Raw genomic sequence first — 13,654 nt, forward strand, 5'->3', positions numbered from 1 at the left:
TGGAACCAACCCAAATGTCCAACAATGTTAGACTGGATTAAGAAAATGTGGCATATATACACCATGGAATACTATGCAGCCATAAAAAATGATGAGTTCATGTCCTTTGTAGAGACATGGATGAAATTGGAAATCATCATTCTCAGTAAACTATCGCAAGAACAAAAAACCAAACACCGCATATTCTCACTCATAGATGGGAATTGAACAATGAGAACACATGGACACAGGAAGGGGAACATCACACTCTGGGGACTGTTGTGGGGTGTGGGGATGGGGGAGGGATAGCTTTAGGAGATACACCTAATGCTAAATGACGAGTTAATGGGTGCAGCACACCAGCATGGCACATGTATACGTATGTAACTAACCTGCACATCGTGCACATGTACCCTAAAACTTAAAGTATAATAATAATAAAAAAAAGACCGAGTCCTCCAGCCCTAGTCACGCCCTCTGCTGGCCACAGCCCCCATCAACACCTTGACTGCAACCTTGTGAAAAGCCCTGAGCCAGAGCCTTCCAGCCCCACGGCTCCTAAACTCTTGACCCATCAAAACTGAGAAGATAAATGGTTTTGTTTTAAAAACTAATAATAAATTAGAGACTCAGCATGTTGCTGTCCTTGAAAACTGTAGTATCTCCCTAATTTCCAAATCTCCAGATCTTCGTAGGCTGTGTTAGTTATCTGCTGCTGTATAATTAAACCACCACAAAATTTACCTGCTTCAGACAACCTACATTCATGACCTCACAGATTCTGTGGGGTGGGAATTCAAGAGCAGCTGAGCTGGGTGTTTTGTATAACGTGTGGTTTGTAAGGATGAGGAAGCCAGTGGGGCAGGAGATGATTGCCATTGAAAGACAGTTTGTTTCTCACAGTTCCCAGGAAGAAAAGCACAGGGGCACGCCACACCATGGTAAGGGGTCACGCCACACCATGGGGGGCACATAGGGAAGCTCCAAGTGGGTCAAGGGGCAGAGGGAGCAGACGAGACCTGGGTTCTTGCCTTTACTGCGCTTTGTGTGGGAAAAGTGAGGTGAGGCACCATCAGCACACTTGGGGGTGTCTGTCCTAATTGTCTGCTGCTGGCCCCGGGGCACCTAGGGAGGGTGAGCATTGGCCCAGAGTGAGCAAGCCCTATAAAGGTGGTGGCTATGGTGTGGGTTCCAGGTTGGTTTGCACCCACAGCATGCTCAAAGCATGTTTGCTGTCTCTAGGAATGAGCTAGCCCTGGAAGGGGCAGGCTCTCTTGTGTCAGCAAGGAGATGTGTCATCAGAACTAAAAAGGTATGATGAATACAGGGTGTTTCTGGCTCCTGCTGTCTTATGAGGTTGCAATCCGGATGTCAGCCAGGGCCACAGGCATTGGGAGGCTTGGCCAGAGCTGGAGGATCATGTTTAATGTCATCCCCCTGCTGTGGGCCAGAGGCCTCAGTTCCTTCCCACTTGGGTTCCTGCAGAGGGCTGCAGGGTATCTGCATGATAAGGCACCCAGCTTCTCCAGAGTAAGAGGCCCAGGAGAGAAAGTAAAGAGGAACTGCACAGCCTTTGTGCAACCCAATCTCAAACATCGCACATCCTCATGCTGCCTGATTGTGTTTGCTAGAAATGAGTTGCTAAGTCCAAACCACACTCAAGAAGAGGGGAATGAAGCTCCATCTCCTGAAGGGAAGAATGTCAGAGCTCGGTGTGAGTTACCTTTAGGGCCACCATACAGGCTGGGGCAGCCTCCCCTCTCAACCCCCAGCCGCCCATGACCCTCGCCCCCACGCCTTGCTTTTTAACAAAGGGTTCACGCCAAAATCCTGTAGGGAGATTTTTCAAATCCCCATGCCCAGGATCCAGCCACTTAGAACCTCCAGAGGAGGGATCCTGCCCGGTGCATTTGGGGAAAGCATTCCATGTTATCTGATGAGCTCCCTGATTGAAACACAGCCCTAGGACGCACTGGAGTGTCTGCCACTGCATACATTTGTTCTGTGCTTGGTCTCTCCATGTATGTCTCAGGCAGGGTTGTTGGAATGCCCGTTGTCCCCATCTATGTGGGGAACACTGTACCCTCCTCAACCTGCTGCAATGCCATCTGTGATATGAATGCTTCCCAGAGCCCTCACCTGGCACAATGAATTGCTCCTTTCTCCGTCCTCCCAAATCACTGCAGACAGAGCTCGGGTGAAGCCCAGAGTACGTGCTGATAAAAGCAGAATGTGTGTGCTTTTCCTTCCAGCTAAGCCGGGAACCCCCCAAGGGGAGACCCAGTGCCACATTTACACTCATGCCCCCACATCTGTCACTGGAGGGTGGCTGGCTTGTATTGGTAAATGAATGACTAAGGGAATGACACACGGTCAGTCTCTGAGAGCATCTTCAAGAGATATTTGGGGAAAAGGGCAGGTTTCCTTCCTAAATGTTAGCTGTATCCTTCAAACAAGCTCAACTTCCTGCAACTGTGTGTTTATATACAGATCTTATGTAAACTCTCCTTGAGGTGGTTTGTTTTCATTCCAGATGTTTGTTTCATAGCCCTTCTATGTGCTATTCTCTTTTTCCTTGGCAACTTGACCTTTTTTTCTCTCTCTTCCAGCTCAAATTCATACCTTCGAGACTTGGGCTGCCCCCTCTCCTTCTCCCTGCAGCCTTCCTTGACATTCTCCCATCTCTGAGGCCAGTGGAGTTTCTGTCTTTCCTCAGGTGATTTATCCTTCTTTACATATTGTCTTATATTGCTCTCTGGTGGTTTTATGTGCTTTGTCTGATCTCTCAACTCTTCCATAAATTCCTGAGAGTGATACTATGTCTTCTGCCAATTTTGTCTTCCCTGTAGCAGAGTTTGTTTTTCTACTGAGCATTTAGCAACTGTGTGTGACTTGATTGATGTTTTTAGCAGGTTCACCTCTTAGAGTAACACACTCTACCTGCTGTCTACAGAGGTGATTCCAACTGCATAATGTCCCTGCAATTTTTAAAGAAAACAACAGACATATGATGTCCTGAGTGTGATGTCCAGGCTGTGGGAGGTGTAACAGTCTCACTGCACTCTGAACTAGGTGGACCTGTCCAGTGAAATAGGTTATGGGTACTGTTAGGAAAGGTTAAAGAACCTGAGATAGTTCCACTACTTTTTAAAAAGACTATATGTTTTTATGACCATTATCTCTTCCAGTCGTATCACATGAGGTATGCAGGGCAGCACTTTTTCTCTGTTAGCCAATGGGTTGAGGTCCATGAGGCCAGGGGACTTGCCTAGGCCATAGCTGGACTCCTCTCATTCCTCTGCGCCTCAGTGGTCTCTCTCCGGCTGAGGAGAAGCAGCCACGGTAAGACGATTGATCTGTCCACCGACACTCGAGGATGTCCCAGAACAGTGCAAGGCATAGGTGTGCTCTGAGTTCTGTGGGGCGTGGCCAGCTGCAAAAAGGTGCAGGAAGGGCGGAGACTGCCCAACAGGAGAAAAGTGCCTCAAATCTTGACGTGGCTACCAGTGAATTAAGCTGCCATGGTCAGAAGGGAGTTTCCTGAAATGTTCAGCATTTAAGCAGATGCAGCTGCAGGCCCTGCATCAGAAAACCAAAGGATGCAATATAAGAAAACCAACTGGATCTGATTAAAATCTTCAAATGTGTGCAAATGGTAGAGAACCCACAATTCCAGTAAGTTGTGTGCTTTATAGAAGACCATGAAGAATTGAAATATTTCCTTCTGTTGTGTGACTTACGTAATTTGAACGAACATAAAACACACCGACATATATTTGCTAGAGCATAGCTTGCACGTATGTTTGTGATAAATCAAGTTGACTGCTTTTTTTAAAATTCACATTTGTTTTCTATTCAGTTTTGTATTTTGTGTTGTGTTAGAAAAGAAGACACAGATACTGAAGATATAGGAGAAAAAGTAGTGAGTTTTTTTTTTAATGGAAAACGTCTATCCATTTCCATTTCTTTTTGTGCTTGCGTGTTTTCCTCTGCCATCATTTGATCCTCTACCCGCTAAAAAGCGGGTTTTCCTTCTGGGACTTGGCGCAAGCGCTCCTAGGCCAGGCGCGCGCTTAGGTCTGAGACCGGCCGAGGAGCAGGGGCGCCCTCTGGAGGCTGGGAAGGGAAGGACGCGGTTCCCCGACCTGAGCCTCCAGAACCGGGCGCCGCCGGAGACCCGCCAAGACTCCAACTCACAGAACTGGAAGGCAATGCATCCGTGCAGTTTTCAGCCCCGAGTGTGTCGCAATGTGTTACAGCAGCAATAGGAAGCTAATACGAGCATTATCCAAGGGAAAGACTTTTTTTTTTTTTTTTTTTTTTTGCTGAGATCCTTGGTAGACAAGGGGATTGCAAAACAAGGAAGAAAACATAGGGGAAAACAGAGCATAATTTTACCAGAATTATCTAAATGTTTTAAATAACGAAAAAGTGATGCATTTTGCTATGGAGGGCCGTGTGTGTGTGTGTGTGTGTGCACGCGTGCAAATGCAAACTCATGCATTCAAACATCTGCTTAGAATATTCCATGTGCATTTAGCTGGAGTCAAAGGAAATTTTTTTAAACGATAAGATTGGCCCACTCTTCAAGAGTGCACCACAATAGGACATGTGCTGCGGGGGGCGAGTGTTGCATGCGATGGGATCGGTGCTTTCACAGAAATGAGCAAAGGTGGTGTGGGAACGGAAAAGGGAAACAACACAGCCTAGAAGGCCGGGTGGGGACTAGGACCCTCCAGAGAGATGATGACTTGTGAGCTCACATTGGCAGTGGGTGGCCATCCTGGCTGGGCAGAAAGGGCAGCAGGGAGAGAGGCTCAGAGGCAGGAACGCCCATGCTGGGCCCTCAAGGTGCGGCAATGCCCTGTATGGCGGGGAGTCAGGAGCGGAGCAAGGGGCCGATTTGACACTTCCCTGCCCTTTGGGGAAGTTCCTCTAAGGCATCTAACGCTCTTCCCAGATGAGCTTTAAATACCCCGAGACACAATTTCTGAACCTCCTGAGAGTTCATTTCATGTTACCATGGGTTTCCCCTTTTTCCTTCGGTCACCCCAGGAGCGTCTCCATCATCCTTTCAACAGTTATTTAAGGGAAGAATTGTAAGGAGTTTTCCTCTGGGGCGTGGGGAGCAGAAGAGTTAGGCACAAAGAGAAAAAAACATGGAAAGGAAAAAAATTAGAGGCAAAATTCTTTTGTATGAACATGAGTCAACGACTATTTTTATGAGAATTACTCTAATTTTTTAAAAAATATTGTGCTAGACACAATTCCACGTAGAGCCATTGTTAGAAAATTTCAGGACTTCAGGAAAATCTCCCACTGGTATTATCTGCCTGCACCTCCAAGGTATGTTTATTTAAGAATTTGGCTTAAATAAAATATGAAGAAAAACAGCCACTAAATGACCCCGATCAATCCATAGCAAGCACAAAAAGAAAGGAGGTAACATGAAATGGACTCTCAGGAGGTTCAGAAGGCGGGAGGCGGTCCCTGCTGTCTCCCATGGGAGCTGGGTACCAGGTGCCAAGCAGGAATTGGGGGACCTGAGCCCCCCCTTTTTTTTGAGGCAGAGTCTTGCTCTGTAGCCCAGGCTGCAATGCAATGGCACAATTTTGGCTGACTGCAACCTCCACATTCCCGGTTCAAGCAATTCTCATGCCTCAGCCACCTGAGTAGCTGGGATTACAGGTGTGTGCCACCACTCCTGACTAATGTTTGCATTTTTAGTAGAGATGGGGTTTCATCATATTGGCCAGGCTGGTCTCAAACTCCTGACCTCAAGTGATCCACCCACGTTGGCCTCCCAAAGTGCTAAGAGTGCAGGCGTGAGCCACCAGGACCTGCCTGGGACTTGAGCCCTTCTCAGCACCTGTGATTAGGTGCTGTCCTGGCTGCCTCCTTGGTCCCCACCTACCCGAACATTAAAGAAAATCTAGGTCTCTCAAACAATTGAAAAAAACAAACAAACAATTTGTCATACACTAAGGTCAACCTTTCCTCCACCATTAAACTCATGCTTCTCCCCCTGAGGTGATAGATGCACCCCCAATATTCCCCTTATCACAACATGTTGATTGACAAGGAAGCGCAGTGCTCTGGGCCCCAGCATCCAGCAGAAATGTGGGAGGCCCCCCCAGCTTCCAACCTCTGACTGCCCGTGCCGGCTGGACCAGCTTGGGCTTCCAGTCCAGCTCCGTGAACATGGGGAAAATGGGTCCTTGCGGGCTTCCTGCTGGAGCTCGTAGGGGAGCAGAGCTGCCTCTGTCGAGGCTTTCATGGGCTCGGTGCCTGCCCTTGACTGCCTCCCGTCCCAGGGGATGCACTAACCCTGCTATGGGAAGTGGCAGACATCCGGTTAAAAATTCAAGTCGATTAAAGGTGGTAGCATGCTCACAAGGGCTTACTAAATGGCTCTAAGAAAAAAAAAAAAAAAAAAAAAAAAACCCTGGATAATTTGGCATTTGCCAATTTCATGGCAAAAATACCCTGCCACGGCTGATTCCAGGTCCTCACAAGCACACCACTGACAGCAGACCCAAATGTCAATAGGGAAACCATGAGCGTTTCCCGTGGAAACATGGGGGAATTCCTCCGCCGTCTTGGGATAGAGCAGAACTTGCAAACTGGTGATTCAGTATAGAGAAGCCTTTAAAAAGTTGAAAATTCTGAATTTGTGTTAGGAATTCTACGTGCCAACATGGAATATTAATTAAAATAATTTTAAAATACCATAGACAAAATTGAGTTCAAAATCAAGGACAGAAATATATGTAACTTTCATCACAGATATTCTAAAAAAAAAATTACTTTTAAAAAAGACTAACCATCCAATAAAAAGTATGAAAATGACAAGAACAAGAGTTTGAGAAAGAGAAAAATCAGAGGATCCTTTAATAGCTGAAAAGATGCTCAACTTCACTCATAGTATTTTTGACCTAGACTCATTTCCATAAGTTTAATAGTACACCTTGTTGTTGCGGCTGAAGAGAAATAGTCATCTTTGTGTACTGCTGGTGGTAATGTAAATTGATGCTGTTTTAGAGGGAAAATGTACAATATCTATCAAAATTTAAAATGCTAGGCTGGGCACAGTGGCTCACACCTGTTATCCCAGCACTTTGAGAGGCCGAGGCAGGTGGATCACCTGAAGATAGGAGTTCAAGACCAGCCTGGCCAACCTGGCGAAACCCCATCTCTACTAAAAACACAAAAATTAGCCAGGCATGGTGGCGCATGCCTGTAGTCCCAGCTACTCGGGAAGCTGAGGCAGGAGGATTGCTGTAACCTGGGAGGCAGAGGTTGCAGTGAGCTGAGATCATGCCACTGCACTCCAGCCTGTGTAACAGAGTGAGACTCCAACTAAAAATAAATAAATAAATAAATAAAAATTAAAATTAAAATGCTGATACTTGTTGACCCATTCCGGGAAGATACCCTACAGATATGCCTGCACATGGTTATTTATGGCAAAATTTTTGGTAAGAGTGAAGTGTTAGAAAAGCAACTCAAGAGTCCACAAAAGAGGACTAGTTAGAGTGTGGTACATCCATAGTATGCAATATATGCAGCTGTAATGAAAGAATGGAGCAAATTCTATGCATATTGGTGTTTAAAGCTCTCCAAGGTAGACTAAATTAATCATAAAAAAGCAAAGTCAGACATGTGAATTGTATGCAATCTTTTGTCTAAAAAACTCAAGAAAAAAAGAATAAAAATATATTTATTTTATATGCATTAATACATACTAGAAGCAGATAAACAAATGATTGTGGCTTCCTAGGGTGGTAGAGATGGGCACAAGCAGGAGGTGAGTGAATGGAACAGGAGAGATTTCTCAGTGTTTTACTTCTTATTTTTGAAGCATATGAATGTTACCTATTCAAAAATTTATGTTAATAGGTTTACAAAATAAATAACAACTTAAACAAGTTTAGGTCACAGCTGGTAGATTCCAGACCTTAAATGGACCCACCCTGTATCATGCAAACTTTCTAAAGATAGAATGCTTTGTAGCTAAGCGCTAAGTGTTCCTGTTACTCCTCTCATGATAATAAAAGAGTAAAGAGAAGTATTGATAATAAGAGCTGGTGTCCTTGGAGCATACCTTGTATGCTGGGGACACGGCTCAGTGGTTTGTGTTATGTTGTATACTCCATGATTATAATGACCATTTCATAGAAGAACCTACTGAGGCATAGAGAGGCAGAGGCGCAGCCCCAGGTTCACAGTTGGTTATTACAGAGTCAGTGCTCAGGGCCAGCCCCACCACATTGCGAGGCAAGGTCTCTTTCAGGTGCTGTGTGCTGTGGCATTCTGCCATCCCTGGGGACACACGGTTACCCAAGGGGCAACATTCCACCTTGCAATGAAAACCTTAATCGGGGACTTGCTGTGCCCTGTGGATGTTTTATCTTCAGAGTAGTCGGCATCAGGGAGATGCTGGGTTTCCCAATCAAGAATTCATCATCCACAAAGCTGAAGATGAAACCCAGCCCCCCGCTGCGGACATTCACTGTACCCCCACACTGTGCACACATTGTGGCGTGTGCAGGGCACACCTCTGTGTCCTCTGGTCAGTCCCTGACGCAGTGATGGGGTAAGCCACGCCATTCACCACGTTTATGTGGCACCCACCTGAGATGTTGACCCAGTCTCTGTGAGTCACCTTCTGTGAGTGATTCACTAGCAGTCCATGTTCTTCTATGCCACAGCATCCGTGTCTCCTGCTTCTCCCCTCTTCACCTCTCTTGGACTTCGTCTCATTCTCCCCTGGCCCTTCCCTGCCGCTCCCCCTGGCTCCCCGCGTCTCTTCCTTCACCCTCTTCCATCCTTCTCCCCTCTCCCCACTAGCAGTTGTGCCAGGCTCCTTAGAGACACGACCTGCTGTTTCTCTACTCTGTTGTCCTCCACAGCCTTCTGTAAGATCGAATGTGGAAGAAACTGCCCATTCTGCGAATGTGCTTGATAAACGGAAACGCCAAGAAGATCCCTAAATCCATGTTATTTTCTAATGGTAGCTTCTGCGACCTGTGAATTCTATGGAAAGGAGCTGGCTATTTTTGAAATCAAGGAAATTGACTCTATATTTAAGTAAATTCTATAGCTAAGTAAATACAAATATTATACTTAAGTAAAATTCTATAAGTAAAACAAATTTCATATTTAAGTAAAACAATTCTATGTTTAGGTACAAATTCTATATTTAAGTAAATTCTATCTTTAAATAAAACTGTATTTCTAAGTTTTCCCATATTAGTTTTGTCCCTCCAGAGACTTTAATATGTAGGTCTAGAGATGTCTACGAAACACGACAGTGAAAACCAGCACCTGCATGGACCCATCTGTGTGTGGTTGTAAATCAGCAAGTTACCAAGCCAAATGCACCCATTTCACTTTCTCACCATGATTAGACTGTGCTGTGTCATAGGAGGAAGAGGGGGCTGTCACAGGGCAGCAAGCAGACATGCCTTCATCTTCATATGATTTCACTATTTTGTAAATGGTTTCTCAGTTGCTTTATAAAGTTAAATAAACCTGCATTGTGTAACCCAGCAATTCCACTTCTAGGTATTTACCCGAGACAAAAGGAACAATATCCACAAGGCTGTGTGGCTATGTATAGCTGCTTTAATCATAATAGCCCCAAACTGGAAAGAACCTAAATGTCCATCACCAGGCGAATGGGCAAACAAATTGCGGTGAATTCATATCATGAAACTACTCAGCAATAAAAAGAAACAATTCCCTGAGTACCTAACAGTGTGGACGATCTAAAACCATGCAGAAGAAAGAAGCCAAACAGATAGAGTGAGTCCCCCTCTACGAAGGTCAGGAACTGGCAAAACTGACTTGTAGGGAGAGAAGTCAGATCAAAGGTGGGAGGATTGTAATTGATGGGAACGCCCTCTGGGTGATGGGAAAGTTCTGTATTTTGACATGATTTGGGTTATATGGATGTATGCACTTGTCAAAACTGATTTTAACACTTAATGTCTGGAAATTACACTTCAAAACTTTGTTGAATCACTTTGTTGGTCCTTTCCATCGCCTGCTTCACAGACCAGGGGAATGTACCTTTTGGTAAAAGCAGAAAACAAACAAAACGATGAGACCAGAACTACGGCAACCAGCCCAAGCACCACTTCGAGCTCCAGGAAAGCTGTGTGATGCTGAATAGACTGCTCAACCTCTCTGAGGCTGGTGTTCTTATCTTCAAACGGGGATAAAAGATCTACCAGTCTAGGTGAGTGTGCACAACAAATGGTATATTCATTTGCTAGGGCTTCAGTAAGAAAATAGGACAAACTGGGTGGCTTAAAACTGCAGGAATTTACTGTCTTATCATCCTGCAGGCTAGAAGTCTGAAATCAAGGCATCGGGAGGCCATGCTCCAAGACTCTGAGTGGAACCCTCTTTGCCTTTTCCTGACTTCTGGTGGTGCCGGCGGCCCTTGATGTTCTTGGCTCTTTAAGCATCTCTGCAACCTCTGCCATCATCTTCACACAGCGCCCTCCCTGTGCATCTCTGTCTTCATACGATGTTTTCTTCTTTTCATGAGGACAGCAGTTATATTGGGCTACAATCCACCCTACTCTAATATGGCCTCATCTAATCATACCTGCAATGACTCTATTTTTAAATAAAGCCACATTCAGAGGTACCCAGTTTAGGACATGAACTTTTCGGGAGACACAGTTCAACTCATCACAGAAAATAATCAGGGGTCTGGACATTCTGTGTCAATGAGATTGAGCCACTAGTTGTTAATAGTATTTCACTCATCTCTGCTGATATTTTTAAAGAACATGTGAAAGGGGTGAGGTATCTGATAGAAAGCCCTCCCTCATGTAATTGATGAGATAAGGGTTCTAATTTTCCCCACAGAAGTTATAAAGAGCACCTGAGCTGTCAGCCAAATCAAATTGCCAGTGGAAAGCAGGTGAACCTAAGGAAGCCATGGGGGTGAGACGTGCCTGGGCATGCCCTGTTCATGGTGGCACCGACCCACACAGCATTCATAGAATTCATACCTTCCCGGAGCTGGCGTGACTCCTGGGAGACCACAGTTTCTGAGAAAATAGAAAGCCAAGTGTAAACTGGACTGGTCACAAAGACTCCGCAGGGAGCTGGCTGCAGACACCCACTCAGTCCAGTCCTGTGGGCACACAGTTGGGTCTTAGGGGAAAAAGAAAGCTTAAGTTAAAACTGCAACAGCTCTTCCAGGAAAGAATTTTTTCAACCCAGGGACACAAAGAGCGCTGCTTTGGAAACCTTCTAACAGAGCGGAACATGAAGGCGAGCACACCCCCGCCCAGGTTTGACTCAGGGAGGACCCAGGGACCTCGGGCTGGAGCCCAGCAGGAGCCGGGAACTGCCTTCTGTGGATCACAGCTGAAAGGGGTAGCCATTCAGAATCTCTGACAAAGGGCCACCGACTTAAGGTCCCCAGCTTCTACAGCTTCACCAGACCCTGCTCAGCAAGAAGGTGCTGACAAAACCCATATGCGTCCAATCCCACTTCCAGGGAAGCCCCTGCCAAATAAGCATGGGAGCCATGCTTCCCGCTGCCCATCAGAACCGGCGATTTTGAATCTCTCTTTCCACGGCAGTAGCTCCTGCAAGAGCCCCCATCCCCATCGTGCCACTCAGCCGGGCTGGGGCTGCTGGGGAAGCCCTGTGTTCCCAGGGCTTTGCCCTCTGTGTCTTAGCAGCCACAGCTCCTGACTTCCATTCCCCCTTCAAAGTCCGTGGGAGGGAAGAGGAGGGAAACTAGGAGAGACTTTGGAATCTAAAGGAAACAAGGAGGATGTTTTCCTAATGCCCAGAGGATATGTGTAACTCTTTTTCTGCAGACAGAAGCTTCGTCGGTACTGGGGTTAGTTCCTGCAGTATTTGGTATCCTAACTCAGCGGTTATGGTTTATCTAGCCCGTGTGAACTGGTCCAGGAAGACGAGCACCCTTCCCAACTTAGTCTACACAAGAGAGTGCTTCGCTTTAGGGATTTTTTAAAAACTTGAAAACAGCTTTGAAACACAATTCATCGGTACATTTTCTTCTCATGGCATTTAGATATTAAAAACATGTGCATGCAGGTTCTCCAACATTAGAATAAGACTTAAAAGGATGGAAACCTACGTCATTTGTGGAGTATCTGTTTTGCTCAGAAATGGACCACGATAGCATCGTGGCACCGTAAGGTGGTGAAGTACTACAGATAGCACAAGGAAGACCATTTGAACTCCAAAAGGCTGTGATTGACAAAAACTAACAAGAGACAGCCCCCCAGGAAATTCAGGGTTTATTGCTGAATTCTCATGTATGAAAGTTTGTGGGATTTGTAATCACAGGGGCTACCTCCCAGGAAACCGTGATAGCCATTTTTCCACCGTAGTTTTGCACTTAATGGACTTTGCCTCCCATAATTCAGGAAAATGTCTTTTGTTGTGCACAGTGGAGGCCGAGTGCTATTGAGAGTGTGTGTCCTACAAAGGGCCTCACTATCTGAGGTCTGCAGCCTGTCTCCTAGGCACTCCCCACTTCAAGAAGCAGCTCTGAGAACAGATTAATGCCTGGATGCCAAGGAGCAATGAAGTTCACCCATCTTATCCAGGGGCTGAGCTAATCTCCTTAAACCTTTGTACAAGAGCGGGGCCAGTCACCCACATGATGCTGTCAATGTGCTTTCAAAGCCCCACTTCAAAGAGGGAGATCAAATGGGGGGTAATTGAAAGGGACAGCGATGTGAGGGGGTTCCTGAGACGCCCCCCAACGATGACTATGAATGCGGCACACACCACCCAAATGACAGGAAGGCAATGCGTTGCGGTGGCTGGACTCCAGGAAGGAGCTCTGCGGGAACGATGAGGTCTGTGGGTTTTGCTGCTGCTGTTGCTTTTGCTGTTGGTGGGCTTTGAGAAAAACACGACTGGCCGGGCTCCCTGCCTTCTCCTTCTCCTGTCGAAGTCTCTACAGCTAGGACCCTCCTGTCCTGACAGGCTCAGCTCTGCATCTTGAGGTCCCTCTGACCTCCCAGCTGACCCTCCATGTAACCCAGGCTCACCCAGGACTCTTTGGGACCTGAAGATGCTCTATTCATCCATTTGTGCTGATTAATAAAGTGAATTCTGAACATCTCGGCGGCTACAGTCTCGGTGGCTCAGCGGGGTGGATGGGATTGCTGCTGCCAAGTCCTCACCCTCTCTGAACTAAATGCGTCATCACGGACTGTGAGGTCCCTCCTACTTCGGGGGAGGGCACCAGCCCATCCCCGCCATTGAGGTCAGGATTGCCTGTACAACCTTCATGGGTCTACAGCCTTTATTTTTTGCATTGAAGGCCAGCAGGGGGCTGGTGCAGTTCTGCTGCAGGGGTGGATCGGCTGGGCTCAGTTCAGGTGTGTTCCACACCTGTCAGCCTCACGGCCAGGAAGCCACCTGAGACACACTGTCTCCTGACAGAGCTCAGGAGAGCAAGAGGTGTGAGGAGATGCACTTGGTGCCCTTATGTCTTGGTGCACCGGGCACGTGGTCAAGCCTGTTCACATGCACAACTGTCCATGGACACAACCAAGGCACAGTCCAATGGCACTAGTCCAAGGGAGGGGTGAGGACTTGGGGGCAGGAATCCAGCCCTTCCCAAGCCCTAAACCCTTTACAACAGAAGGGCAACTAAATA

At 46.6% G+C, this 13,654-nt stretch overlaps 2 long non-coding RNA genes across 3 annotated transcripts in view, besides 4 other annotated features; one reads left to right on the top strand and one right to left on the bottom strand.

The window, feature by feature from the left end:
• LINC03082 (long intergenic non-protein coding RNA 3082) overlaps nucleotides 1-13,654 on the bottom strand; it is a 145,761-nt gene that overhangs the window by 128,746 nt on the left and 3,361 nt on the right. The window lies entirely within an intron of this gene.
• Nucleotides 4,083-4,202: an enhancer, noted in NCBI's record as "active region_7990". NCBI's record gives its function as "activates an Ori minimal core promoter by ATAC-STARR-seq in GM12878 lymphoblastoid cells {active_cell/tissue: GM12878}" and the evidence as "EXISTENCE:reporter gene assay evidence [ECO:0000049][PMID:35858748]".
• Nucleotides 8,529-9,028: an enhancer, noted in NCBI's record as "H3K4me1 hESC enhancer chr13:110772997-110773496 (GRCh37/hg19 assembly coordinates)". NCBI's record gives its function as "activates a minimal SCP1, AML or CMV promoter by ChIP-STARR-seq in naive H9 embryonic stem cells {active_cell/tissue: H9 hESC(naive)}" and the evidence as "EXISTENCE:reporter gene assay evidence [ECO:0000049][PMID:30033119]".
• Nucleotides 9,581-13,113, top strand: LINC03032 (long intergenic non-protein coding RNA 3032). Its single transcript, NR_148221.1, has 3 exons — nucleotides 9,581-9,806; nucleotides 10,039-10,222; nucleotides 10,332-13,113. It is a non-coding gene; the product is annotated as a long intergenic non-protein coding RNA 3032 (long non-coding RNA).
• Nucleotides 9,683-9,782: an enhancer, noted in NCBI's record as "active region_7991". NCBI's record gives its function as "activates an Ori minimal core promoter by ATAC-STARR-seq in GM12878 lymphoblastoid cells {active_cell/tissue: GM12878}" and the evidence as "EXISTENCE:reporter gene assay evidence [ECO:0000049][PMID:35858748]".
• Nucleotides 10,265-11,464: an enhancer, noted in NCBI's record as "MED14-independent group 3 enhancer chr13:110774733-110775932 (GRCh37/hg19 assembly coordinates)". NCBI's record gives its function as "activates an origin of replication core promoter dependent on BRD2, BRD4, P300/CBP and CDK7 cofactors, and independent of MED14, by STARR-seq in HCT116 cells {active_cell/tissue: HCT116}" and the evidence as "EXISTENCE:reporter gene assay evidence [ECO:0000049][PMID:35650434]".

Source organism: Homo sapiens, chromosome 13 (genome assembly GCF_000001405.40).
Source record: "Homo sapiens chromosome 13, GRCh38.p14 Primary Assembly".
Taxonomy (NCBI): domain Eukaryota; kingdom Metazoa; phylum Chordata; class Mammalia; order Primates; family Hominidae; genus Homo; species Homo sapiens.